We start from the raw sequence: 15,082 nt of genomic DNA on the forward strand, positions 1-15,082 counted from the left end.
AAAAGAGGAAGTCAAATTGTCCCTGTTTGCAGATGACATGATTGTTTATCTAGAAAACCCCACTGTCTCAGCCCAAAATCTCCTTAAGCTGATAAGCAACTTCAGCAAAGTCTCAGGATACAAAATCAATGTACAAAAATCACAAGCATTCTTATACACCAACAACAGACAAACAGAGAGCCAAATCATGGGTGAACTCCCATTCACAATTGCTTCAAAGAGAATAAAATACCTAGGAATCCAACTTACAAGGGATGTGAAGGACCTCTTCAAGGAGAACTACAAACCACTGCTCAATGAAATAAAAGAGGACACAAACAAATGGAAGAACATTCCATGCTCATGGGTAGGAAGAATCAATATCGTGAAAATGGCCATACTGCCCAAGGTAATTTACAGATTCAATGCCATCCCCATCAAGCTACCAATGACTTTCTTCACAGAATTGGAAAAAACTACTTTAAAGTTCATATGGAACCAAAAAAGAGCCCGCATCGCCAAGTCAATCCTAAGCCAAAAGAACAAAGCTGGAGTTATCACACTACCTGACTTCAAACTATACTACAAGGCTACAGTAACCAAAACAGCATGGTACTGGTACCAAAACAGAGATATAGATCAATGGAACAGAACAGAGCCCTCAGAAATAATGCCGCATATCTACAACTATCTGATCTTTGACAAACCTGAGAAAAACAAGCAATGGGGAAAGGATTCCCTATTTAATAAATGGTGCTGGGAAAACTGGCTAGCCATATGTAGAAAGCTGAAACTGGATCCCTTCCTTACACCTTATACAAAAATCAATTCAAGATGGATTAAAGATTTAAACGTTAGACCTAAAACCATAAAAACCCTAGAAGAAAACCTAGGCATTACCATTCAGGACATAGGCGTGGGCAAGGACTTCATGTCCAAAACACCAAAAGCAATGGCAACAAAAGCCAAAATTGACAAATGGGATCTAATTAAACTAAAGAGCTTCTGCACAGCAAAAGAAACTACCATCAGAGTGAACAGGCAACCTACAACATGGGAGAAAATTTTCGCAACCTACTCATCTGACAAAGGGCTAATATCCAGAATCTACAATGAACTCAAACAAATTTACAAGAAAAAAACAAACAACCCCATCAAAAAGTGGGCGAAGGACATGAACAGACACTTCTCAAAAGAAGACATTTATGCAGCCAAAAAACACATGAAGAAATGCTCATCATCACTGGCCATCAGAGAAATGCAAATCAAAACCACTATGAGATATCATCTCACACCAGTTAGAATAGCAATCATTAAAAAGTCAGGAAACAACAGGTGCTGGAGAGGATGTGGAGAAATAGGAACACTTTTACACTGTTGGTGGGACTGTAAACTAGTTCAACCATTGTGGAAGTCAGTGTGGCGATTCCTCAGGGATCTAGAACTAGAAATACCATTTGACCCAGCCATCCCATTACTGGGTATATACCCAAAGGACTATCAATCATGCTGCTATAAAGACACATGCACACATATGTTTATTGCGGCACTATTCACAATAGCAAAGACTTGGAACCAACCCAAATGTCCAACAATGATAGACTGGATTAAGAAAATGTGGCACATATACACCATGGAATACTATGCAGCCATAAAAAATGATGAGTTCATATCCTTTGTAGGGACATGGATGAAATTGGAAACCATCATTCTCAGTAAACTATCGCAAGAACAAAAAACCAAACACCGCATATTCTCACTCATAGGTGGGAATTGAACAATGAGATCACATGGACACAGGAAGGGGAATATCACACTCTGGGGACTGTGGTGGGGTCGGGGGAGGGGGGAGGGATAGCATTGGGAGATATACCTAATGCTAGATGACACATTAGTGGGTGCAGCGCACCAGCATGTCACATGTATACATATGTAACTAACCTGCACATGGTGCACATGTACCCTAAAACTTAGAGTATAATAAAAAATAAAAATAAAAAAATAAAAAAATAAAAAAAGATGAAATGATACACGTGTGAAAGATCTTCTTGAGACTGAGTTATATATAGAATCTTTGTGAGAGAATTTTGCTAGCAAATTATGGCTTATTGGTATCATTTGAAAAGACAGCGATCTATTTTATAGAGTAGCTAGGCTTCATCTGTTATTTTCCAATCCCCAGTGATCAATAATAGTAATGCTATGTTCTGATCTTTGTTATTTATATTCTTCTGCTAGCATTAGGTTTAGTTTGTTTTTGTTTTTCTAGTTCCTTGAGGTGTGATGATAGGTTGTTAACTTGAGAACTTTCTATCTTATTGATGTAGGCATTTAACACTATAAACTTTCCTGTTGGTACTGCTTTTTCTGTATCCCAGAGGTTTTCAGTATGTTGTGTATCCATTTTCATTCATTTCCTTTTTTTTTTTTTTTTTTTGAGACTGAGTCTCGCTCTGTCGCCCAGTCTGGAATGCAGTGGCGCGATCTTGGCTCAGTGCAAGCTCCGCCTCCCGGGATCAGGCCATTCTCCTGCCTCAGCCTCCCGAGTACCTGGGACTACAGGCGCCTGCCACTGCGCCCGGCTAATTTTTTGTATTTTTAGTAGAGACAGCGTTTCACCGTGTTAGCCAGGATGGTCTCGATCTCCTGACCTCGTGATCCACCTGCCTCGGCCTCCCAAAGTGCTGGGATTACAGGCGTGAGCCACTGCACCCGGCCTCATTTCCTTTTTTAAAAAAAAATTTTGCTTCAATTGCCTTGTTTATCCAAAAGTCATTCGAGAGTGAGTTATTGTATTTCCATGTATTTGTGTAATTCTGAGAGTTCCTCTCAATTTTTCAGTGGCAATTGTAAATGAGATTGAGTTCTTGATGTGGTTCTCAACTCTCATTTATGTTATTATTTTATTTCTTTAGAAGTCTTGTTAGTATCTTGAAGACTCTATCTTTTGTGTCTCTGTTTGGGTCTATGACTTTTTTTCCAATGGAAAAAAAAATACTAAAACTATTATCAATGGTCTAAGATTATTTTCCCTTATGAGTACAGCTTATCTTTTCAGTGTGTTATTTTTTAATCTGCAAAATGGAAACAATACATAACATCATAAGTTATTAATAGAATGAAGAAATATAGTATTTACACACAGGCTTCAAAATAACATATTTTATAAATGCAAAGGATTTGTGACAGTTTATATTTAATATTTTAGTGGCTGATACTAATGAAATAAAATATATTAAGAATATTGAATTAAAGAAAACAACCCAGTATTCAATATTATATTGCAACTTTAGAAACCAAACAAATGATGAAGAAAAAATTAGAGCTTCAGTTTTTGGTTATTTGAGATGTATAACATGATAGCTATATGCAAATTATTCACAACTGTATTCATAATTGCAGTAATTCTGAAGAATGTTAGCAATTAACTTCAAAGTCACAAGATAATTTCCACAGATATCAAGCCTTCATATAGAATATATAGTGGAACAATTCTCTGAGCTTTTACTTTTAGATCCAGTGCAATGATTGATATCCTTCTTTCAGGATGCTGTAAGTCTGTGTTAAGAACTTTTTCATAAATGATAAATGCCTCACTTTAAGCATTCCCTTTTGAGCTTTTCTGATCCTTTATCTTGAACGCAGTGGTAACTACTATATAGAATGCATGGAATGGCCATAAAAAATATCACATATGGCCCAAGGTCAGTGGTCTGATTAATGTTGTGATGCTGAACGTGGAGCAATCTAAAATTTGCGTACTTTTGATTAGGATAATAATAAAATATCTGGCAATACATTTAACGAAGAAGGGGAAAGATCTTTACAAGGAGAACTACAAAACACTGATGAAAGAAATTGTAGATGATACAAATAGAAATGGCCTAATGTGTATGAGCCTAGGGCTTCTGGGGAGGGACTCTCTATCATGCCTTCTGTCCCAGGATGTCAAAGCCAAAAGGATCAAGGTCCCCTGAAATAAAATCACTGAAAAGGTATGTTCTCTTATATGTTATTTAAAAATTTTATCTGATGCCACCAAAGAATGACAGCAGTTTCTAACCAACTTCATATTTATAGCATCATATTAAGGTATTATAAGGCTTAGCATATTTTGCCCTGGTTTTCTTTGTAATGTAGGTTGAAAGGGAGACATGTTTGAGTGCTTTTGTACGTAACTATCTCCCATGCTTTTTCTATCTCTTCTTGGTCTATATTTACTAAAAATTGATATAAAAAAACAGTTCACTAATGAGCTCTTCATATTATTGAACACTCACAAGGTAATATTGATTTGGGTGCTACCAGACTTTTAACTAACATTAGTTTTTCTCAATAGTTCTTGTAAAGGACAGCATTCAATCCAGTAAATATTAAAGTGTACTAGTTTAAGGAAGGTTATTTATATACTGTCATACCACAAAGCAATGATGGAAAGAACATCTGTGTTCACCAGAACGTACTTTCTTCCTTTGGCTGTGAATAAATTGGATAGGACTATTTTATTCTAAGTTCTGGCTATTGGGAGATATGGGGATAAGATTGACATTGCTGTCGCAGTATTGCAAAAACATGACTAATTTGGTTAATTATGTCTACCATTTATGTTTAAGAGATCCTTTCACTAACTTAAATTGTTAACTTTTAATTTCACTAACTTAAGTTGTTGTGATATTGAGAAAGAATTTTAACCTAAACAGTCACTTTACAACAATCATGTAAAGACGAGTGTGCCTGCAGTTGAGGTTTTTTTGCATTTCTGAGCCCACTTTGTATTCATGAGAAACAAAAACATAATGGGAGAAAAGTTTTAAATAACCAGTATTGTAAGTTTTCATAAAGTTTGGGACTTCAAAGTATTAACGAAGGATACTGAAAACATACTGGACTTTTACTTTGGTCAAATTACTTTCTATGATCTGATTTCTTAATTTTCTGTATTTGAAGTCTTGCCAATTAGGAATATCTATATCTATATATAAACAGATAACTAAAACTTAATGGTAAAAATAAGTGTAATTCAGTAAAATGATTCAACAGTTTTTATTTTTAGAATAAGTTATCGCTTATTGCATTGATATCATATTTATATATTGCCTTGCAATGCTAAATGCTCTAAAAAGAATATTTAGGCTACTTCCATTCTATGACCTTCTTCCCCCTCCCCCAGGATATACAAAAGATCTTATATTAACTAATTCTCTATGTGAATTTTGCCATATCAAACATTGTGCCTTATTTTATTAAAACTGTTTTGTTGGAATCCAATTCTGTATTAAAGTCTCTATAATGTTAAAAAAAAAAAAAGAAAAGAAAAACATCTCATGCTCATAGATTGGAAGAATCCATATCATTAAAATAACCATATTGCCCGGAGAAATCTACAAATTCAACACAATTTCTATCAAATCACCTATGTCAGCGTCACATAATTAGAAAAAAACAATTCTAAAATTCATATGGAACCAAAAAAGAGCCCAAATAGCCAAAGCCATTCTAACAACAACAAGAAAAACAAAGCCAGAGGCATCACATTACCTGACTCAAAAAAAGTTACTATAAAAAGTTATACTAATTAAATCAGCATGGTACTGGTACAAAAATAGACACACAGATCAATGGAACAGAATAGAGAACCCCAAAATAAAGCCACATACCTACAACAACTGATCTTCAACAAAGTTGACAAAAATAATGGGGAAATACCCTACTCAATAAATGGTGCTGGGGAAATTGACTGGCCATATGAAAAAGAATGAACTGGCCCCCTATCTCTCACCACATTCAAAAATTAACTCAAGATGGAATAAAGACTTAATAAGACCTGAGAGTTCAAAAATCCTAGAAGTAAACCTAGAAAAAAACTTTTCTGGACTTTGGCATAGGAAGAGAATTTATAACAAAGACCCCAAAAGCAAATGCAACAAAAACAAAATAGACAAATGAGCCTTAATTAAACTAAGAAGCTTCTGCATAGCAAAAGAAATAATCAACCAAATAAACAGGCAACCTACAGAATGTGAGAAAATATTAGCAAATTATGCCTCCAGCAAAAGACTAACATCCAGCATCTACAAGGAACTCAAACAAGAAAAAAAAACGAACAACTCCATTAAAAAATGAGCAAAGGATATGAACAGACAGTTCTGAAAAGAAGACATACAAGCAGCCAACAAACACATGAAAAAAAAGTTTAACATCACTAATTATCAGACAGATGCAAATTAAAACACAATGAGATATCATCGTACACTAGTTAGAGTAGCTATTAATAGAAAGTCAAAAAACAACAAATGTTGGCATGAATATGGAAGAAACGAAATACTTATACACTGTTGGTGGAAATGTAAATTAGTTCAACCTCTATGGAAAACAGTATGGAGATTTCTCAGTGAATTACGGAAAGAACTACCACTTGACCCAGCAATCCCATTACTGGGTATCTACCCAAATGAAAAGAAATAATTATATTAAAAAGATACCTCCATGTCACAGCAGGTATATATTTATCACAGCACTATTCACAACAGCAAAGTCATGGAACCATGGTAAGTGTCCATCAATAGTTGATTGGATAAAAAAAAAAGTAAGATATATATTTATGTGTATGGTATCTTTTATGGCCGTATGGTATTTATATGGTATAGCCCCATCTCAAAATACAATACAGCCATAAAAAAAAATAATAAAATTATGTCATTTGCAGCAACATTAGTAGAGCTGGAAGCCATTATCATATGTAACGTAACTCAGAAGCAGAAAATCAAATACTGCATGTTTTCACTTGTAAGTGGAAGCTTATAAATTGGTACATATGGACATAAAGATGGAAATAGTGGACACTAGAGACTCCAAAAGTGGGGAGGAGTGAGGGTTGAATAATTGGGTACAATGTTTGCTATTATGGGGATTGATACACTAGAAGCCTAATCCCCACCATTATGCAATATACCCAGGTAAAAACTCTGCACATGTACTCCCTGAGCCTAAAATAAAATTAAATGGAAAAAATAAAAATAGTAATAGCGATGCTGTTTTAAGGATGAATCTGAGCCTAAATTATACTTAGCATAAAAAAAAAAGTAGCATGATTAGTTTGTAATGTCTGCCATGTCTGTGGGTGGGAAATCTATTCATCACTCTGACAGTCTGTATATTTTGATCCCTGAGTTATATTTTACACTCTGATTAAAAATACTTTTAAAATCCAACCTGTCCTAATCCAGGGAGTCCAATCTTCTTTACTTCATAGTTTATTGTTGAGTTTCAGTGTTCTAAAATGCTGACATTTTTCTTCTTCATTTTTAATAATCATCTTTACCATCCTAAATAGTAATATTTTCTCAGCATGAAAAAGACTGTCAATAAAAAGTGACTAAAATTCTGAAAGCAATTGCAACTTTTAGGCCGAATTATGTTTTGGATTATCTGTTAACTTTATTTTCTTATTCTAAACTGACTCCCATTAGTGTGGAAAACAAAATAAATTTTTCAGTCAGCATTATTTCTTCACAATCTTTTAAAGTTATTTCCCTTGACAGGTTTTTATTCCTAAGATTTATCTATATATAATAAGTTACAATAATATAGAAAGTTTTAGTATAATCATAATAAAAATGTGGATATATGAAAAGTATATTTAGTAGTAAGGAACATTCTCAGGTAAGTTTAATTATTTTAGCAGCCAAAGAATCTGCCTTTTTAAGCTGAACTCAGAACAGGAAATGTATTACATAAAGCACAATCTAATTGGGTATTCAGTGTGAATAACTTCATTAAGACTTCAGGATAAAGATATTATTTTCAAGCAGGGTCAGAGGGATAAATTAGGTAACAAAGAAAGTCATTAACTGGAAGTAGCCCTCTTAACTTACTTTAATCATAATTATTGTTAATAAAACCACCTAATCTACAAGATTAATTTCTCATAATCAATTAGGCTAGCAAAAAAAAGGTTTATTAGGAGGTCAGGCATCTAAAGATTAACATCTTTCAAATAATTATTCAGCAAATATTTATTTAATACCAACTATATGCAAGGTACTGTGGAGAATACAAAGAGTGATAAAACACACTATCTATCCTCAAGACACTTAAGGTTACAGCAAAAGCCATAAAATTTATAAAAGAATATCTTTTATGATTTTCTACTTAGGTGAATAATGCCAAAAACTGGCAGAGCTACAGAAGTTCTGAGGGAAGTTAGAATATTCTTCATGGAGACGGTAGCTCTTGAAAAGCCTGAGAAACATGGATAGAAATTACTAGTGGAAAAGTGAAGGAAGTCGGCTTCCAGATAGAAATAAAATTATTCACAAGGATATAGAAACAGAAAGATGTGAGAAAGATCTGAGTTAATTTGGCTGGAGCCTATGATTAATAAAGGAGCACAGTAGAAGGTAATATAAGGAAGTTTTGGGCCAGGCGCGGGGGCTCACGCCTGTAATCCCAGCACTTTGGGAGGCCGAAGCGGGTGGATCACGAGGTCAGGAGATCGAGACCATCCTGGCGAACACTGTGAAACCCCGTCTCTACTAAAAATATAAAAAATTAGCCAGGCGTGGTGGTGCATGCCTGTAGTCCCAGCTACTCAGGAGGCTGCAGCAGGAGAATGGCGTGAACCCAGGAGGCAGAGATTGCAGTGAGCCGAGATTGCGCCACTGCACTCCAGCCTGGGCAACAGAGCAAGACTCCATCTCAAAAGAAAAAAAAAAAGAAAGTTTTGATGCAAATTATGATAATGCTTTATACATCTAAATTACATCTTATTTAAGAGACATTAAGAAAGAAGCCAATAAGAAATTTTGAGTAATAGAGTTGCAATGATCATAACTGTGCCTCAAGATAATGGCACAGTCAGGTAGTGGAGGTACAAGAAGCAGGGACTTCTGGTAAGAGGCTTTCATAAGAGATTGAAGGAGACAAAATTAGTGCTTGAGTTAGAAAAATGACATGCAGAAACTGAAGACAAGGTAGTTCTCATCATATATCATTATCAATAAGAAAAAATATTTTTAGTCCTCTTTGGTAGGTAGAACAAGAAGATGGCCCCTAAGATTTTTGCCCTCTAGCTCTTTATCATCCCCAAGACAGTGAATATGATGAAACTTTTCTCTTGTGCTTCAGTTATTATACAAGGCACAATTTTAGAATGGGAAATTGTGTTTGGTGGGCCTGACCTAATCAGTTGAGCCCTCAAAAGAGATGGGGCTATTCCCACGGCAAGAGATTCAATTGTGCGAGGGTTGTGATACCAGGGATACCTTCTATTGTGGTACATGAAGGAAAAAACGTCATAGGGTCATGAATATAAGTGACTCTAAGAGCTAAGAATGGCTTGTGGCTGCTGCCAGATGGCAATGTGCTACAACCACAGTCCCACAGCCACAGGGAACTGAATTTGGCTAACAACCTGAATCAGCTTGAATGCTGATTCTTACGCAGAGCTCCCGGAATGGAATACAGGATAACCAAAACTCTGATTTCAATCTGAGCAAGGAATTTAGCCACACCACACCTGTACTTCTGAGATAATAAATAGTTGTTTGTTTAAGCCACAAAGTGTTTGGCAGTTTTTAATGCACTAGAAAACTAACACACCCTGAGAAATAATTAAAATATCCCATAATGTAAAGTAGGAAGTGTTATATACTAAGAAAAGCCGCATACACAAAAAAATCTCAGTATGAAAGTTGATTAATCCTAAACTAGACCTCTTGGAAACGTGGAAATTGGAAATTCTCACCTCTTTGTAATGCGCTGCAAAATAAAAATTCATCTGTTTGCTTTGAGAATATTTTGCCCTTCTTTTCTTAAAAAATAGCTTCTTTTTTTTAAGTTAATGTGATTGTCGTTATGTGTTTTGTTGGTTTTGATGTAGATTTACAAAGTCAAAACTTAACAAAAGGTGAAGTAGACTATATTGTCTCTTGTGCACTCACTTTTATTTAAATCTTCTTTCCTAAGATTCCCTGAGGGCTATGGCCCAACAAGCCTGAGCATCACAAAGTGGTACCCATACTAGTGCCCCAACCCGGAATCTCCTCCTCAAAATATCCCCTAGTAGATTTGGCCTGTACTTTTCTCTTTTCCCAAGATCTGCAACTCTTTCTGGCAATCATATCTAATCAGTGCTAAAATGTGAAAGTTTTATTCTTCAAATGAATATATTCAATTAATAAGAGCTTTGTGGAGAAAATGACTTTACTTTGACTATGTAAATGATTTTAATATTTAAGAGGAGAGACCAAAATCACTGGACGGTTAAAAAAAAAATACATAAGAGGATATGGATTATTTGATGACAGGGTATCTAAATTTACTTGCTTGTCTTTGAATAGAAGCCTTCATGGTCATTCTACTTGTCAGTAGATACCTTTAATAGAGTATTTCTTCATCAACATATGAAATAACTTAACAATAAATAGGTCTTCTGATGTCTGAATTACAATCTCTGAATGGAAAAAATGTTTTTTCCTAATCATGGCATCTCTGTGGTAAATGATAATGAAACTAAGGTTTTAATGCTATTTAATGGGGAAAATCCTTGTATTATAAACTACAAAACATTATAAAGGTAGTGAAAAATGTAAATTCTATTTAGATGAATAATAATCTAGTTAGGAAACTAGAAAAAACAAACAAAAATGCATTTTTAACACCAGTGACAGTTATTAACATACAAATATAGCAATTGCTGGTCAGGAATGTACAAAAATATAAAGTATTTTATTCATCCATGGACTTGTGTGTCTACTCTACTAGATAGTCCTTCCTTCAGTGAACTGTGAGGAAGAATCAGTTCCATGCCTCTCACCTAGTTTGTAGTAATTTTCTGGTGGTCTTTGACATTCCTTGGCTTGTAGAAACATCACACTGATCTCTGCCTTGGTCTTCATGTGGCATTCTCTCTCAGTTTGTGTGGGTGAGTTTGTATGTGTATATAACAAAAAAATTTCTATTTTTTCATAAGGACATTAGCCTTATTGCATTGGAGGCCCACTCTACTTCGACATAACCTCATTTTAACTGATCACATCTGCAATGGCCCCATTTCCTCATATGATCACATGCTGAGGTACTGGGCATTAGGATTTTAACATATGAATTTGGGGAGGACATGATGCAACCCATAACACACAGGAAACACATGCCCGAATGACATGGATTCTGCTCTCTCTAAATGAATTTGCAATCAAGAGGAGAACAAAACACAGGCAAATACATGCAATTTACTGAGGTAAATGTCATTAAGAAATCTGGAAGAAATACTTATGAGAACAGACAAAAAGAGATGTCAATGAAAATGATTAATATGAATGAGTATCATGCCACAGAAGACATATCATTTAAACTTCTTTTCAAAGAACAAAATAGTCACAAAAAGAGAAAGAGAAAAGGGTATTTCAAACACAGGAAAACAACATACGCAAATAAAAAGAGGTAGTTATCTCTGAGTAGCTCAGAACAACAGCCAGTCTAGGAACTATGGGGTATTGCAGGGTGCAGGTGGCAAAAGGCAAGACTAAAGGAAGTTGGTGTTCATTTGCTGAGGAATCTTGAGAGACATCCTAAAAAACTTTCAATGTATCCAGCATAACAACTATCCCAATGTTGGGATTTGATGGAAGACCATCAGATATTTTTCAGTGAGAGAATTACAACTTCCCACCTGTATTTTATTTTAAAGTTTCAGAGAATGAAGGACAAAGGGCACAAAGAGATCAGGGGAGTTGTTTTTAACTGGAATTACAAGAGCTAGAAACGACACTGGTCTAAAATTTTCCACGTTTCATTTTGGTTTACATTAATATGATTTTTGATGTCTACATTTCTAAGGGATTAGGTACATTAGCTATGTCCCCACAAATTACTTATTAATAAAGTATAAAGTACTATTGCATCAGGTTCTAATCCGCCTAATTGTGCTATGATGGGGGCAAGGGGTGTGTGCTGGAAGGTTTCACAGTGTCTTAATGGCAAATTAAATGCTTTCAAATTCATGATTTTTGCAAAGTTTTCACACACCAAAAATCATGCAAATATATTCAACACGTAGTCAGTAATAAGTTGGGGGTGGTGGGGAGTGCACAACTGAACCACAGTGAGTAGCTCAGGAGATCAGCACCCTAGGGCGGGGCTGGGGAAGTGTTGCTGCTCTTTGCCCAACAGAGCTTCCAACAACTGATACTGGTGATAAAGAGGCCTCAGACTTCTCATGGGCAGAGCTTCTGCAGGTGCCTTGGCCACAGTTTCTTTGTGGTTTTTATGGCCCCCGACAGCAGTGGCTCTAGACATTATCTCTACTGCCTTTTGGCTTCACTTTCTTGTCAGGCCACAGCAAGTGTTCTCTTATCCCCTTTGTACACTATACATATGCTTATCTCTTTGAGGGGTCAGCAATTTCACTGTAGGCTGAGTCACTTGTCATAAGTGACTTCATTTTGAGTCACTTAAGATTATAAAATATTATTATATATCAAATACTCACTTTACAGTGGAGAAACTGGCAGATACCACCTTGACAAAGTGATGAAAGTTAACATCATGTATCATTTATCATTATATTGCCTCTGATGCGGTTCACTGAGAAAATATCACTTTTGCAGTATTCCTGCCAAAACTCTATAACCTGATCTAATCAAAAGGAAACATATCAGACAAGTTCAAACTGAGGAATGTTCTACAAAACAACTAACCTGTACTTTAACTGTAAAGTCAATATCTTGAAAGACAAATGGAGCTAAAGAACTATCCCAAAATAAAGGAGATAAAAGAGGCAATGATAGTCAAACAGGTGTGTGATCCTGGATTTGGTGATTGAGCAGGAAAAGCAAAAGCTATTGAGATAATTTCAAAGTTTGAATATGGATTGCACATCAGGAAATTGTATTATATTTGTGTTAAATTGTCTGACTTTGATAATTACAAAACAATAACCTGCTTTTATAAAATACAGCCAGAAGTAAAAGGACATGATGTCACTCTCAAGTGATTCAGAAAAAAATACAGATCTATTATACGTATAAAGTACCACTCAGCTCTTGCATTTTGTGATTGTTTTTGCTGTTATACTTTGCTAGAATGTAATAAATACATGTACATTAGGTGTTCCATGGGTACTTTGCATACTCTAGAATCTTAGATAGTTATACCACCTCTTTGAGTGGCTGAAGCTTCCCTCATCTACCCAACCTCCCTCCTGACTAATTATTAACCTCTTTTATCTATTATTATACCTCACACATATGATATGTTGATCATATTTCATATTAAGCATTTGCACATCCATTTCATTCTCTAGACTACTATCACCTTGAAAATGGATTCCACATTTCAGGTAACTTTGTATCACCACTACCTAAAATAAGCCTGGAATACAACCAGTAACTGATTTTGAAATGAATTAAGGAATGAGTAGAACTACGTATGATTTTTAGTAATAATTATAATTGAAATTCTTGATCCAATATTTGTCTAGACATGCATATCTTCATTCCAAAACTGTAGGTTAAGGATGTTACCGTAAGTGAAATTTAGTAGACTGAAAATAGATGCTTATGTCTTCTCGTTATTCTACCTTTGGTAAATAAATGTATTTAAAGCCTATCATTCCTAAAGGAACTCACTTAACTTCAGCAAGTATTATCCTATCAAATAAAAGAGATCCAATATTTTTAAAAACATCCAAGCCAGGACTACTTCATAACATGATAAAGATTATATTGACAGTAAAATTACTTGGCTCCAGTTGGTTAAATATGGCTGGTTACTTTTTCGGTTAGACTAAATAAGAAAATCCACATGCACCTAGAATATGTTTCCAATTATGCTCTTGGAAATCTGATCAAATGATTTATAAAATCCATGAATTGGAGCTTTCTTTCTTGACATGAGTCCTCAATTTCCTCAAAGCTAGAATGATGGAATGTAATTATTCTGCTTTGCTACTCTGACAAGGAATGCATTCAATCATCAATTAGGAATTAGCACATGTATAGTTTCAATTATATTGATTAATCACCAGCAACTTTTTAATACAAAATTTAGTTACAGTCTATCATGCCTTGATAATTAAAATGCACTTTGGTTTGTTGTTTCTTACTGACTTGTAGAAAAACAAGTAAAGTCATAAAATCTTCTTGCATTGTATGTTATTTATTTCTACTAATCATGAGTGAGAGTTTGCCTATATTTAGAACATTATAAAATCTAGACAAATATTATCACTATCATTACCACTTCCACCTCCATTTATCATTTTTCTACTATAGCATAATTATGAGGAACATCTTCCTAAACTACATCATGGATAGGAAAACATAACTCTTGCAAAAATTCAGTTTGCCTTTAAGATAAGAAGCATAGCATGGGAAAAATTTGGACACTTTAAAGCAAGTCTTCACAGTTTCAGTCTTCTGTTTGTGTACTTGTTCCCTTCCCTTTGATAGTAACCACCATACACCCAACTCAGGACACGTATAGGGTTGCTCTACTAATCTTTACTACAAGTAAAAGTGGGAAAAGATCTGAATTCACTCATTATGTCTGCTGATTTACCGAATATACTTGAGATATGAGGATAATACCAGCAGTTGCACATTACTGAGCAATAAGTATGTGCCAGGGTCCTAGTCAAATTCTTCACATCTGTCGACAATTTAATTTTCACACTTTCAAGTAGGTATCAGGCTCATCCATATTTTGCAGAAGAAGAAGCTGAGGTTCAAGAGGTGAGATATATGGTTCGACTTTACCCAATTAGGAAGTAGCAGAGAGTAAACTCAAGGCCAGATCTGCCTTACTCCATAGCCCACACTTTTCAAATATATGTTTTATTGCCTTTTTAGGTGGATCAAGATTGCATAAAGGGAAAACAGGTGTTAACTCCAGGATGTGGGTATGGAAATACAGCAAGAGCAGAGGCTTGTATTAGTTGAACTCTAACAGTGGAGGAGTTCTACTCAGAACATGGTGGGTGTGGGCAGTAGCTATGAGATTAGAATGCATGTTGTGACTAATGAGGATTAAGTTTTATGTGGTATCAGATAAAATTTTCAGCACCACCAGTCGTGAAAGTGTTGAAGAAATAACAACAAAAAAG

Source organism: Homo sapiens, chromosome 5 (assembly GCF_000001405.40).
Source record: "Homo sapiens chromosome 5, GRCh38.p14 Primary Assembly".
Lineage (NCBI taxonomy): Eukaryota > Metazoa > Chordata > Mammalia > Primates > Hominidae > Homo > Homo sapiens.